General features: G+C 43.0%; 1 protein-coding gene across 2 annotated transcripts in view; it reads right to left on the bottom strand.

Moving 5' to 3' along the window:
- The window catches only part of RPIA (ribose 5-phosphate isomerase A), a 59,257-nt gene that overhangs the window by 13,810 nt on the left and 31,854 nt on the right, over positions 1 to 13,593 (bottom strand). Inside the window, exons 4-7 of one of the 2 annotated variants that reach the window (NM_144563.3) lie at positions 7,783 to 7,842; positions 2,504 to 2,568; positions 1,383 to 1,451; positions 444 to 585 (exon numbers count right to left, since the gene is read on the bottom strand). In NM_144563.3, coding sequence (NP_653164.2) covers positions 444 to 585; positions 1,383 to 1,451; positions 2,504 to 2,568; positions 7,783 to 7,842 — 336 coding nt within the window. Of the gene's footprint in view, positions 1 to 443; positions 586 to 1,382; positions 1,452 to 1,820; positions 1,918 to 2,503; positions 2,569 to 7,782; positions 7,843 to 13,593 lie in introns of those variants that run through there. The other variant, XM_047443733.1, reaches the window with a different exon arrangement.

The following is a 13,593-nucleotide window of genomic DNA, read 5'->3' as shown; positions in this document are numbered from 1 at the left end:
AAATTCTACTTCTTGTCACATTTAACCACAGAATGAGAGGAAAGAAGAGGGAGAAAAGAAGTTACACCATGGAACCTAAAAAACTTTCTGTTCCAAGCAGTTCCCAAAGCCAGGGTTTCACAGCTGCCAATCAGGGTGTTCCAGGCCTCAGGCACAAAGGTCAGATCACCTGTGGGATGTCAGAACCTGAGGCACAGAGAAAGAATCATTCCCCTATCTGTACAAAGGAGATGCACTGTATTAAGTGTGGTCTTGTCTACACGAGTTTGAATGCAGAAACTAACAGGCCAATTCTCCGAAAATAAACAAATACATCAATTAAAAATAAATAAAAGCCAATTGCCTGGTGGAAGCACACATGACCTAACTGCAACAGAAGGGAGGACACCACACTGAAAACCTGAGTGCACCCAGCACACCCCCGGCCCAACCAGGCCACTCACAGCCTTGTTGACAGCCATTCGAAGTTCAACCACGCCCCCAAACTTCTGGCTCACAGCTCGGCTCACTGGGACATAGGCCATTGGGATGACCTCGATGGGGATTCCCTTGTGCCACTGATCCCCGAGATTCTTCGAATCTTTCCTGGAAAGAAGGAGTCAGAAAGTACAATAAAAGTAAATAAGCTCAACAGTACAGGCAAACACCAAATTCAGGAACAGGGTTAATGAGATGGTGGGAAGGCAAGGAAAGTGATCAAGGGCAATATACATGGGGCTACAAATGAATTAGCTGTTTCACTATATAGGAAAAGAGCTATTTGAAATAAATATGACAAAAATGTTAAAATCTGATATTGCTGGCTTGTGGGTATGTAGGTGTTTAATATTTATGCTCGTCCTGTGGCTATATTTCACAAGTAAATATACACATACACATATTTGAAATTAACATGCTCAGCACAAGTGCTTTTGACTACATTCCTTGAAGGAGCATCTGAGAGCCTGGTCAAAGACTATCAATGACACCAGTCACCTGCGGCAAACCCTGACCCGAGAAGAAGCAGGGTATGCTGAGTCACTGCCCGTGGGCAGGGCACACCCTGCCTCCTCTGAGGCTCCCTGTGAGGATCCAGTGAGTGACATGACACATGAGAGCATGCTCTGCTAACAGGGTGACAAGCTGTTTCCCCGTTCCACTGAACACATGAAACGATGCTAGAGATCCTGGCTGCGGATAACAGTGCTGTGATTAGCAACATCTACCTTCAGCCTACAAGCAGAACATAAGGTCTCCTAGACACTGTACTAAGTCCTAGCCATCAGTCTCAGAAAGTCAGACAGTCCCTGCAGCTCTCCATTTCCTCTTTCACAAAAATGGGGATGCGGCTTGGGGATCCAATCTACCTCCTCAGTTGGCAGCTCAGACACCAGAAACTGTACCTGAAATCAGCGATCACGATGAAGCGACTAGCATAGCCAGCCACAATCTTCTCCTGGGTCAGGCAGCCTCTGCAGGAAAGAAGCAAAGGAACACAGGAGTAAGACAAAAATCTCAGTTTGGGAACTAAGGTTAAATACAGGAATCCCAAATCCACTCAATCCTGGCACTTAAAGAGAAACTTAACTTTTAATTTTTAAAGGGACATCCCCAGTCCCATCATGCTGCTCCTAGTAAATGGACTCTAGAAACATTACCCCTGTCTGGGAGAAACCTAGAAAGCAGACAAGGTTCCCATTCAGGCCAGGCATAATTCCATCCAAATGTGTCTGAGAGGGAGCATTGTGTTCAGGGAGATGTCATCTGGACATGGCATGAATGGGAGGGTCTAGAAGCTGAGGAGGGCACGCTTTGAACAACCCGCCCAGTCGACTACTTGCCAATGAGGGTGATGAAGTGGAGAGAGCCCAGAGCACTGAATCAGCAGATTTGGGTCCAGGTCTACCTCTAGGGTTTAGCAGCTAAACTATCTCACATCTGCAGTTGACAGGATTAAGTAACACGTAAGAAAATCTAATAAACAGTAAAGTGTGATTTTAAACAAATGCTGCATCACTCAATAGTCTGCTTGATTATAAGAACCAGCAGAACAGGATTTCACCTTTTTCAACTCACCATTCCCACCACTCCCCAAATCAGCACTTAAGAAATACCCAATTAATGTTTTCCAAAGGAACAAATAATATCCCTAACTGCTCACAGAAGTAAGCACAGCTTTAAAGCAAAAGTCACACACTGGTGCCCACAGACCTAACAATCTAGCCCAGTATTATTTTGATTTGGCCTTAAGTTTTTAAAGTCTGAATCAACAAAAGAACACAAATCCACAGAGAATCCATTACGATGAATGATCTCACTAAAGAGGCCCAGGTTCCTTGTCAGTAAATTGCTGCTAATGACCAGAAATGCTGAGTTGGGTCTAAGGCCATATGCTATCAATATCCTAGGAGAAAGACAAACTTGCATATGTCACAGTGGCAATTTGTTTATTCTGTATCCATCTTGCTTTGCTAAGGATTAACTGGCAGATACTCTTTAGCACAGAAGCCCCCACAACACTCACCCGCCACCCTTGATGAGATTGAGATCAGCATCTACTTCATCAGCACCATCGATGGCAAGGTCGATCTGTATTGGGGGAAAGGTAAAGATACAAAAACCACTCGAGGGGAGCCTCTGCTAATTGCCTGAGCATGCGATAGCTCATCAGATACTCAGCAGCCCTGTTAGCTAATTCTAGTACTCCCATTTAGCAAATCAAGAAATTGAGCTACAAGAGGTTAAGCTGCTCCACTAGGATCAAAGGGAAACAGCACAGGACTTGGGACTCTAACCGGGATGCAGTTCTTACCCACAAGACTATGTTCCCTTTTCTCATTGATGGGCTTCTCTGTGGACAAGCTGGCGTTATTTAGAGCACGTGTTCTCAGTGTGGGTGCTATCACCTCCCCCAAGAGGCAAAAATTAGTTTTTGGTGGGGGAATAAAAAATCTTAGACATTACAATGAGTTTTGTCCCACCAAAGGGCCAATACAGTAATATCTGTGCTACTAAATTCCACTGGGGGTGGGAAAAATGCAAAAAAAAAAAACTGATTCAGAAGTCTCTGTACTAACTGTGAGCAACCTCACAGGCAATTTTAAGTGGACATGAGGATCAAATGAAGAGATACACAAGAAAGCTGATGAGTTCCCGAACTGGAAATTACTGGGGCATTGCCACTAAGACCCCACTTGTCTGGGCTTGCCCGCTCCCTCTATTAGGAAGCTCCACCACAAGCCCCAAAAGCAGTTGAGGGGCAAATGGGTTCATCTAGCTTTTAAAAATCAAAATCAAGAAAGTTACACATTTCTCATCACTCATGGTACTCTGCATGGACATTGTAGGAACCCCGAGTATATTTTTAAAGACAGCAAGTAGTATGCAGGGTACAAATTCTATTCATGGTGCAGTTACTAAGTTGCTTGGCATGGCTGGCATGGCACAGGTATAAAAAATACAGTTTCATATGGGTCATGCTTGCTTCCAGCCTTTTACAGATTCCAGCCTTTGTCTGAAGTTACAGCAGGCACTGCTCTCCCCAGGCCTGCATTAACCCCAGAGCCAGGCTGCACTCTGGCAATTCTCAGGGGTATGGAAAGTGGCAACCTTTTCTGTCTGGGCTCCAGGCCCACCTTCAGCCCAAACCACTCTCTTCACAGCTGCTGAACACATGATCAGCCTGTGCCCCTGGCTCTGCCCACAGAAATCCCCAAGTCCTTCCCATAGTTCTTACTAACCCCTGTGAGGCCCATGTGTATGACAGAAACATGGGCTACCAGATCACCATCAAGTCTCAACCTGCCTGGTTTTCCAGGTGCCATAAAACCACCCCACTTTTCCTATCCAGCTTTGCTTTCCCTCTCCCCACTATGCACCAACGCAGTACACTCACTCTGTCCTATCACCCCAGCCAGTCCGAGCAGTGTCCATTTGCCCACATGGAGCTGTTCCTGTGGTTCCCGTCTACCACTCTCTGGAATGTTCTCTCCTGCCCCTGCCACCTGGCCTTTATAGCCCAATTCAAACTTTACCTCTTCCCAAAAAACTCAAACTAGCATTAGTCTAGAAAAGATGTGCCTGAGTTCAAATTCTGATTCTGCCACTTAAAACCTGTGGCATTAGCCATATGACTTACCCTCTCTGTGCCTTTTTCACATCTATAAAATGGGAAAATTGTGGTATCCTATCTTCAAGAATACTGGAAATAAAACAGTTTAATACAGGTACAGCACTTAGCACAAAAGCTGGTACATAATAATGGCTCAGAAAATGCCAGGTAGGGTTTGTGATGTTGCTCACCCTCACCAACATCAGTCTCCTCTGGACTGCCCCTGTGTTAGTCTTTACCACAAAACTTAGTTTTAATATTTTCTTTTTTTTTTTTTTTTTTTTTTTTTTTTTTTTTTTTTATTATACTCTAAGTTTTAGGGTACATGTGCACATTGTGCAGGTTAGTTACATATGTATACATGTGCCATGCTGGTGCGCTGCACCCACTAATGTGTCATCTAGCATTAGGTATATCTCCCAATGCTATCCCTCCCCCCTCCCCCGACCCCACCACAGTCCCCAGAGTGTGATATTCCCCTTCCTGTGTCCATGTGATCTCATTGTTCAATTCCCACCTATGAGTGAGAATATGCGGTGTTTGGTTTTTTGTTCTTGCGATAGTTTACTGAGAATGATGGTTTCCAATTTCATCCATGTCCCTACAAAGGATATGAACTCATCATTTTTTATGGCTGCATAGTATTCCATGGTGTATATGTGCCACATTTTCTTAATCCAGTCTATCATTGTTGGACATTTGGGTTGGTTCCAAGTCTTTGCTATTGTGAATAGTGCCGCAATAAACATACGTGTGCATGTGTCTTTATAGCAGCATGATTTATACTCATTTGGGTATATACCCAGTAATGGGATGGCTGGGTCAAATGGTATTTCTAGTTCTAGATCCCTGAGGAATCGCCACACTGACTTCCACAATGGTTGAACTAGTTTACAGTCCCACCAACAGTGTAAAAGTGTTCCTATTTCTCCGCATCCTCTCCAGCACCTGTTGTTTCCTGACTTTTTAATGATTGCCATTCTAACTGGTGTGAGATGATATCTCATAGTGGTTTTGATTTGCATTTCTCTGATGGCCAGTGATGATGAGCATTTCTTCATGTGTTTTTTGGCTGCATAAATGTCTTCTTTTGAGAAGTGTCTGTTCATGTCCTTCACCCACTTTTTGATGGGGTTGTTTGTTTTTTTCTTGTAAATTTGTTTGAGTTCATTGTAGATTCTGGATATTAGCCCTTTGTCAGATGAGTAGGTTGCGAAAATTTTCTCCCATGTTGTAGGTTGCCTGTTCACTCTGATGGTAGTTTCTTTTGCTGTGCAGAAGCTCTTTAGTTTAATTAGATCCCATTTGTCAATTTTGTCTTTTGTTGCCATTGCTTTTGGTGTTTTGGACATGAAGTCCTTGCCCACGCCTATGTCCTGAATGGTAATGCCTAGGTTTTCTTCTAGGGTTTTTATGGTTTTAGGTTTAACGTTTAAATCTTTAATCCATCTTGAATTGATTTTTGTATAAGGTGTAAGGAAGGGATCCAGTTTCAGCTTTCTACATATGGCTAGCCAGTTTTCCCAGCACCATTTATTAAATAGGGAATCCTTTCCCCATTGCTTGTTTTTCTCAGGTTTGTCAAAGATCAGATAGTTGTAGATATGCGGCATTATTTCTGAGGGCTCTGTTCTGTTCCATTGATCTATATCTCTGTTTTGGTACCAGTACCATGCTGTTTTGGTTACTGTAGCCTTGTAGTATAGTTTGAAGTCAGGTAGTGTGATGCCTCCAGCTTTGTTCTTTTGGCTTAGGATTGACTTGGCAATGCGGGCTCTTTTTTGGTTCCATATGAACTTTAAAGTAGTTTTTTCCAATTCTGTGAAGAAAGTCATTGGTAGCTTGATGGGGATGGCATTGAATCTGTAAATTACCTTGGGCAGTATGGCCATTTTCACGATATTGATTCTTCCTACCCATGAGCATGGAATGTTCTTCCATTTGTTTGTGTCCTCTTTTATTTCCTTGAGCAGTGGTTTGTAGTTCTCCTTGAAGAGGTCCTTCACATCCCTTGTAAGTTGGATTCCTAGGTATTTTATTCTCTTTGAAGCAATTACGAATGGGAGTTCACCCATGATTTGGCTCTCTGTTTGTCTGTTGTTGGTGTATAAGAATGCTTGTGATTTTTGTACATTGATTTTGTATCCTGAGACTTTGCTGAAGTTGCTTATCAGCTTAAGGAGATTTTGGGCTGAGACGATGGGGTTTTCTAGATATACAATCATGTCGTCTGCAAACAGGGACAATTTGACTTCCTCTTTTCCTAATTGAATACCCTTTATTTCCTTCTCCTGCCTGATTGCCCTGGCCAGAACTTCCAACACTATGTTGAATAGGAGCGGTGAGAGAGGGCATCCCTGTCTTGTGCCGGTTTTCAAAGGGAATGCTTCCAGTTTTTGCCCATTCAGTATGATATTGGCTGTGGGTTTGTCATAGATAGCTCTTATTATTTTGAAATACGTCCCATCAATACCTAATTTATTGAGAGTTTTTAGCATGAAGGGTTGTTGAATTTTGTCAAAGGCTTTTTCTGCATCTATTGAGATAATCATGTGGTTTTTGTCTTTGGCTCTGTTTATATGCTGGATTACATTTATTGATTTGCGTATATTGAACCAGCCTTGCATCCCAGGGATGAAGCCCACTTGATCATGGTGGATAAGCTTTTTGATGTGCAACTGGATTCGGTTTGCCAGTATTTTATTGAGGATTTTTGCATCAATGTTCATCAAGGATATTGGTCTAAAATTCTCTTTTTTGGTTGTGTCTCTGCCCGGCTTTGGTATCAGAATGATGCTGGCCTCATAAAATGAGTTAGGGAGGATTCCCTCTTTTTCTATTGATTGGAATAGTTTCAGAAGGAATGGTACCAGTTCCTCCATGTACCTCTGGTAGAATTCGGCTGTGAATCCATCTGGTCCTGGACTCTTTTTGGTTGGTAAACTATTGATTATTGCCACAATTTCAGAGCCTGTTATTGGTCTATTCAGAGATTCAACTTCTTCCTGGTTTAGTCTTGGGAGAGTGTATGTGTCGAGGAATGTATCCATTTCTTCTAGATTTTCTAGTTTATTTGCGTAGAGGTGTTTGTAGTATTCTCTGATGGTAGTTTGTATTTCTGTGGGATCGGTGGTGATATCCCCTTTATCATTTTTTATTGTGTCTATTTGATTCTTCTCTCTTTTTTTCTTTATTAGTCTTGCTAGCGGTCTATCAATTTTGTTGATCCTTTCAAAAAACCAGCTCCTGGATTCATTGATTTTTTGAAGGGTTTTTTGTGTCTCTATTTCCTTCAGTTCTGCTTAGTTTTAATATTTTCAAATGTCCATGGCTGCCTCAGATGATTCTTCCTTATTTCCACTTAGTGGCAAGCTCCATGAGCTGGCTCACTCTTATACCTCTGCACAAAGACCTCAGGAAGCCCTGGATATAGCCCTGGGCTTGCCCACTTCCCTTCACTACATTCACACTGAGCCCTTGCGGTTAAACCACAAGGAATGTGGTGGAAAGGAACCACCTCGGCACTTGTGACCTCAGCCAAAATTAATACTCAAGGTCCCAGGAGAAAACTTGGTACAACTAACTGACATCTTCCCTAGATTTTACAAGATATCTGGAGCCCATGAACAAGTGACAGCCATAAAAAAGCGGAAAGAAATACGCAGTGGTCTGCCTCTGAGTGGCAATCTTACCTCTGGGTGTCGATCCAGATCACTGAGGGTCAAGCCATACTGCAGGATGAGCTGGCGGGCCTGCGGAGGACAGGGAAGAGCAACCACGATCATTTACTTGAGTTCATGACAAGGATTCTCAGAATTCTTCTGGATTTAAGTGTCCCAAGTCCTACCCAGGCTCTCTCCCAAAGCCCAGCATGGCCCACCATGAGGTAGGAGATCTAGCCCCATGAATGGCAAAACTAACTGCTGATTCAACCTGGGAGCTGGGAAAAGGCAAACAGCACAGCAAAGACCCTGTTCCAATGCGAAGCTAAGAGCTCCTCGTCAGTGACTTGTGATGAAAGAGAATGCCACGGCATCCTAAAGCTTCTGGCAAAACAAGTGCGACAAAAAATTCCTAACATAGAACCAAATCCACAACTTACTACAAAGGTTTTAAAACAATCCAATGGTATAAAAACAGACTGAGGAAGATCATTATGAATGGACACGGAGTGGTTTCCAGCCCACACTGTTAAGTAAATATGAGGAAAAGAATATATACACTTAAAAATGCCAGAATTCAGAAAGACTAAGGGAGGAAGTCAGCAAATTTAGCACACTAGACTGGGAGAGATTTAGGATGTTTGTGAGAAAGTCAGCACCACTGACGTTATAGTCAAGCTTCAGAGCTAACCTTCTTAAAAAGGTGACAAAAGGGAGAACAGTGGTTACAGCCATCAAATTTTGGCTCTGAGCAGGATTCGTAGCTGGAATAAAGATACCTCAAACCTTCATGTTTGAATGCCCAAGTCCCAGTGATGTGAGTTTATGTTCATGTCATTGCTTATAATGCACAGAAACCAAAGGATGGAAAACTTTTTTGTAAAGACAAGCCTTCACAACGTTTTCTGCTAAAAACAAAAAGCACCTGAGATTAAGAATCAGAAGGTCCAGGTTCTAATCTTAAATGAGCCAGCCCTGTGACCCTTGGCAATTTTTCTCATCTATAAAAAGGTAGGGACAGATGAAATGACCGAGGCCAACCTTCTAATCTAAAATCGTAAGACTCTAAGGCTAAAACGTAAAGATCTTGAAAATTGTAATGTTGGATCCTGATTCAAACAAACTAAAAAATATACTTTTAAAGGATAAGACAATAAAAAAACTTTGAACCCCAGATTTGATGTTATTAAAAATTATTGATGTTATTAGAAATTATTGCTCTTTTTAGTATTGTTGTGGTGTTTAAAAGACTCCCCATTTTCCAGAGAGACATATGAAATATATACAATGAAATGATATTATGCCTGGAATTTGTTTCTAAATAACAAGATTCAGGGGGATATTTAGGTATGGATGAAATAGGATTGGCTGTGAACTGATAATTATTGAAACTGGATGCTGAGTACATGGAAGTTCATTTTATTGTTCTCTCTCCTTTCTGAACTTTGAAATTTGCCATAATAAAAAGCTAAAATAAAATGCTGGCTGAATAAGCAAGTTCAAAAAAAACCTTATGATTTTGAACTTATCAAAGAGAAATATATGCTGAAAAGGAAAACAGCAAAAATAGTATTGCTAGATTATTTCTTAATTCTTAGATTTCTCCAAAAGTACTATCAGAACTATGCAGCCGTTAAAAACAAAAAGAGAGAGAGATCACGTCCTTTTCAGGAACATGGATGGAGCCAGAGGCCATTATCCTTAGCAAACTAGCGCAGGAACAGAAAACCAAATACCACATGTTCTCACTTGTAAGTGGGAGCTAACAGAGGGCAACAATACACACTGGGGCTGACTGAAGGATAGAGGGTGGAGGGTGGGAGGAAGGAGACGATCAGGGAAAATAACTAATGGGTACTAGGCTTAACACCTGGGTGACAAAATAATCTGTACAGCAAACCCCCATGACATGTTTACCTACATAACAAACCTGCACATGTACCCCTGAACTTTAAAGTTTAAAAAAGTAAAAGTAGTATTAGAGAAACCATCCTAACTTCAGATCTGAGACTACAAAAACATTGGAAAGTGGCCTCAAAGAGGGCCCCAATAATCCTCACCTCCTGACATTCATCCCTTTGGATCATCCCTTCCCATTGTCCCAGAGTTAGTCTGTGTGAGTGACCAATGGCACAAAGCGGAGGTGATGATATGACACTTCTGAGATTAGTTTACAGAGAACGCTGCAGAGGGAGGGCAGGGGTAAGGCTGCAGACTGGCATGCTCCTCTCTCTCGCATGCGCACACATGCACGCGCACACATGCGCGCGCACACACACACACGCACGCACACAAGAGATATTAAACCAATCATTAACACATCGCTAACAGCCATGCGCGGTGGCTCATGCTCATAATCCCAGCACTTCGGGAGGCCAAGGTGGGTGGATCACTTGAGGCCAGGAGTTCAAGACCAGTCTGACCAACATGGTGAAACCCCATCTCTACTAAAAATACAAAAATTAGCTAGGCATCATGGTACCTGTAACCCTAGCTACTCAGGAGGCTGAGGCAGGAGGATCATCTGAGACCAGGAGGTGGAGGGTGGCAGTGAGCCGAGATAGTGCCACTGCACTCCAGTCTGGGCAAGAGAGCAAGACTCTTTCTCAAAAACAAACAAAAAAAACCCCACACTGCTAACTGATAAGGACGTTTTAAAAATAGCTGTCATGTCCTGGACAAGGAGTTGGCTCTCCTTCCCCTAAAAGGCACATTATCTCTACTTCTTCTCTACCATATACTTATAAAATATTGCATACATGAATGTAGCATTAATTCTTTGAATATTTGTGGAGTGCCAGGCACCACACCAGACACTGAAGATAGTAACACACATTCTCCATGCACAAGGGCCTCTCTATTCTTATACAAATGAATATACCTTAAATCAGGGGTGTCCAGCCTTTTGGTTTCCCTGGGTCACACTGGAAGAAGAATTGTCTTGGGCCACACATAAAATGCACTAACACTATCAATAGCTGGTGAGCTTAAAAAAAAAAAATCACAAAAAAACTCAATGTTTTAAGAAAGTTTATGAATTTGTGTTGGACCACATTTAAAGCCATCTTGGGCCACGAGTTGGACAAGCTTGCCTTAAATGATCACGACAACCAACTGAGCTATGCCTCCTCACCACAACCACCAGCCGCCCACCCCAGTACCTGACCAAAGCCTGGCACATGAGAAGGGCCTGGTCGGTGAGCACTGTCTGTTTCTGCAGCTGGGGGGCCCACTGTGATTCCCCTGCATACCCCCATACTCCACCCTCAACTTCTGCAAGCCCTGAGACTCTCCCATCTTCCCCAACAGACAATAAGCAACAACACAAGGGGAGCATCTGTACTCCCTTTAAAACAGTTCTGTGCCCCAATTCACAACACGAGGCTCAGGAATTCTGCCGGTTTGTTAAAATGGTCAACTGAAGTCTGGGCCCCTGTACAATGACTTCAAGATCCCACTAGGAGAGAACACTTTAAGCCTGTTCCCATCAGCAAGTTCTCCAACTCTCCCTTCTCCCAACCTGTGACTTGCCTCCCCGCAGGAGTGGTCCAGCAGCTCTACAGAGAAGTCCTGATTACAAATGGTGTGAGCCTCATCCTTCCTGAATGTTAGGTTGAATTGTGTTCCCCACAAAAAAGATCTATTGGAGTTCTAAGCCTCAGTACTTCAGAATGTGATGTTTTATGGAGACAGTGTCTTTAGAGAGGTAATCAAATTCAAATGAGGCCATTAGAGTAAGCTCTAAATCAGTATGACTGATGTCCTTATTAAAAGCGGAAATTTTGACACAGAAACAAACAGGCCCACAGGGAGAACAACATGTGAACATGCAGGCAGAGATCAGGGGATGGGCCTACAAGCCAAGGAACACCAAAGGATATCAGCAACCCACCGAGAGAGTTAGGAGGAAGGCACAGGACAGATTCTCCTTCACAGTCTCAGAGAACCAATTCTGCCAACACCTTCATCTCAGACTTCTAGCCTCCAGAACTCTGAGACAACACATTTCTGTTTTTTTTTTTTTAAGCTATTCAGTCTGTGGAACCTTGTTATGGCAGCCTTGGCAAACTGATGCATGGAGTTCCACAAACAGCATAAGGGTTTTGACCCACTACTGGCTCAGTGAGCATATGCAGCCTCTGGTGCTCCACTGAGATCTGCATCTGCTAGACACCAGAAGCTTCTAACAGGGAAGCAAAAGGGTCTCCGGAGCGTGTAGAGTAAACACCCCTGCCTGCCTCTTCTGGCCAGAGTTCTGGAAAGTGCAAGGAGCAGGAAAGCTAATGATTAGCTTGTGATTCTGAAGAAAGGCAAGAAGCAAACCCCACAGCTGGTACCTCTAAACGTCTCATGATTAGGGACAGTGGCACTTGGCAGGCTACTGGTACTTCTGTTTTCCCTTCATTTTACAATAAAACCTGAAAATGTAGTTTTATTATTTCACAAAATGTGGTTTTCAGGTTTTATGGTGCTTACATAGTAGAAGCATAAACATTTTCCCTTCTACTACCTAATCAAGGTAGAACCGAAGGCAGAGTGAGCAATAAATGCTGTTTTTGGTTTAAACCAGTTCTGGCTTTCAGGTACTTTACCTTCTTCTTTACCTTCTACCTTTAAAGTTAAAGGCCTTTAATTTTAAAGAGCAAATCCACCAAAATCATTTAAATCCCTACAGGTTTACTTGTTTAAAAAGTAGGGCATGAAACTGTTAGGGCTCAGGATACCCCAAAATAAAAGCCTCAGAAACATCCTCAGGAGCTGCCAGGCACAGTGGTTCACTCCTGTAATCCCAGCACTTTGGAAGGCCGAGGTGGGCAGATCACCTGAGGTCGGGAGTTCGAGACCAGCCTTGCCAACATGGTGAAACCCCATCTCCAGTAAAAATACAAAAAAATTAGCCAGGTGTGTTGCCATATGCTTGTAATCCCATCTACTAGGGAGGCTGAGGCATTAGAATCACTTGAACCTGGGAGGTGGAGGTTGAAGTGAGCCGAGATCACACCACTGCACTCCAGCCTGGGTGACAGAGTGAGACTCTGTCTCAAAAAAAACAAAACAAAACAAAGAAAAAAGAAAGAAACATATTCAGAGGCAAAAGTTTCTTTCAATTATTCTGCCCTCCTGACTCTGGCCTCTCATGCTCCTGAGGATAGCCATAGAAACTAGAATCCCTCCTCCCCAAAGCAGGTCACAGAAACAACAACCACTTTCCTTTTCCCTTTTCCCCAAAGCCAGACATAAAACTGTGAAAGGAAAATAAAACTTGAGGCCCCAAAATCAATCAAGGTGGGAACTGCTTAGGGCAAACCTGTCTCCCATTCTATTCAAAGTCACCCCTCTGCTCACTGTGATAAATGCATATCTGATTGCCTCCTTTGGAAAGGCTAATCAGATGCTCAAAAGAATGCAACCATTTGTCTCTTATATACTTATGACCTGGAAGCTCCCTTCCAGCTTCAAGTCTTCCCGCCTTTGCTTGAGTTGTCCCACCTTTCCAGACCAAACCAATGTTCATCTTGCATATATTGATTAACACCTCATGTCTCCCTAAAACGTACAAAACCAAACTGTGCTCTGACCACCTTGGGCACATGTCGTCAGGACCTCCTGAGGTGTGTCACAGGCACGTGTCCTCAACTTTGGCAAAATAAACTTTCTAAATTACCTGAAACCTGTCTCAGATTTTCAGGGTTGACATTTTGGTAACCACAGAGGGATTCTGAGTAGAGGTACCCCTGACCTTTGACAAATCTATCAGTGCTTAGTACCAGCATGAGCTAATTTTATGGCTCAAACCAACAGGACAATTTGCTGAGGTCTGGGAGTACACCCTCCAGAGAA

Source organism: Homo sapiens, chromosome 2, assembly GCF_000001405.40.
Source record: "Homo sapiens chromosome 2, GRCh38.p14 Primary Assembly".
In the NCBI taxonomy this organism is placed as follows: domain Eukaryota; kingdom Metazoa; phylum Chordata; class Mammalia; order Primates; family Hominidae; genus Homo; species Homo sapiens.
The sequence above is the reverse complement of the archived record's forward strand: the minus strand, read 5'-3'. Positions and strand labels throughout refer to the sequence as shown.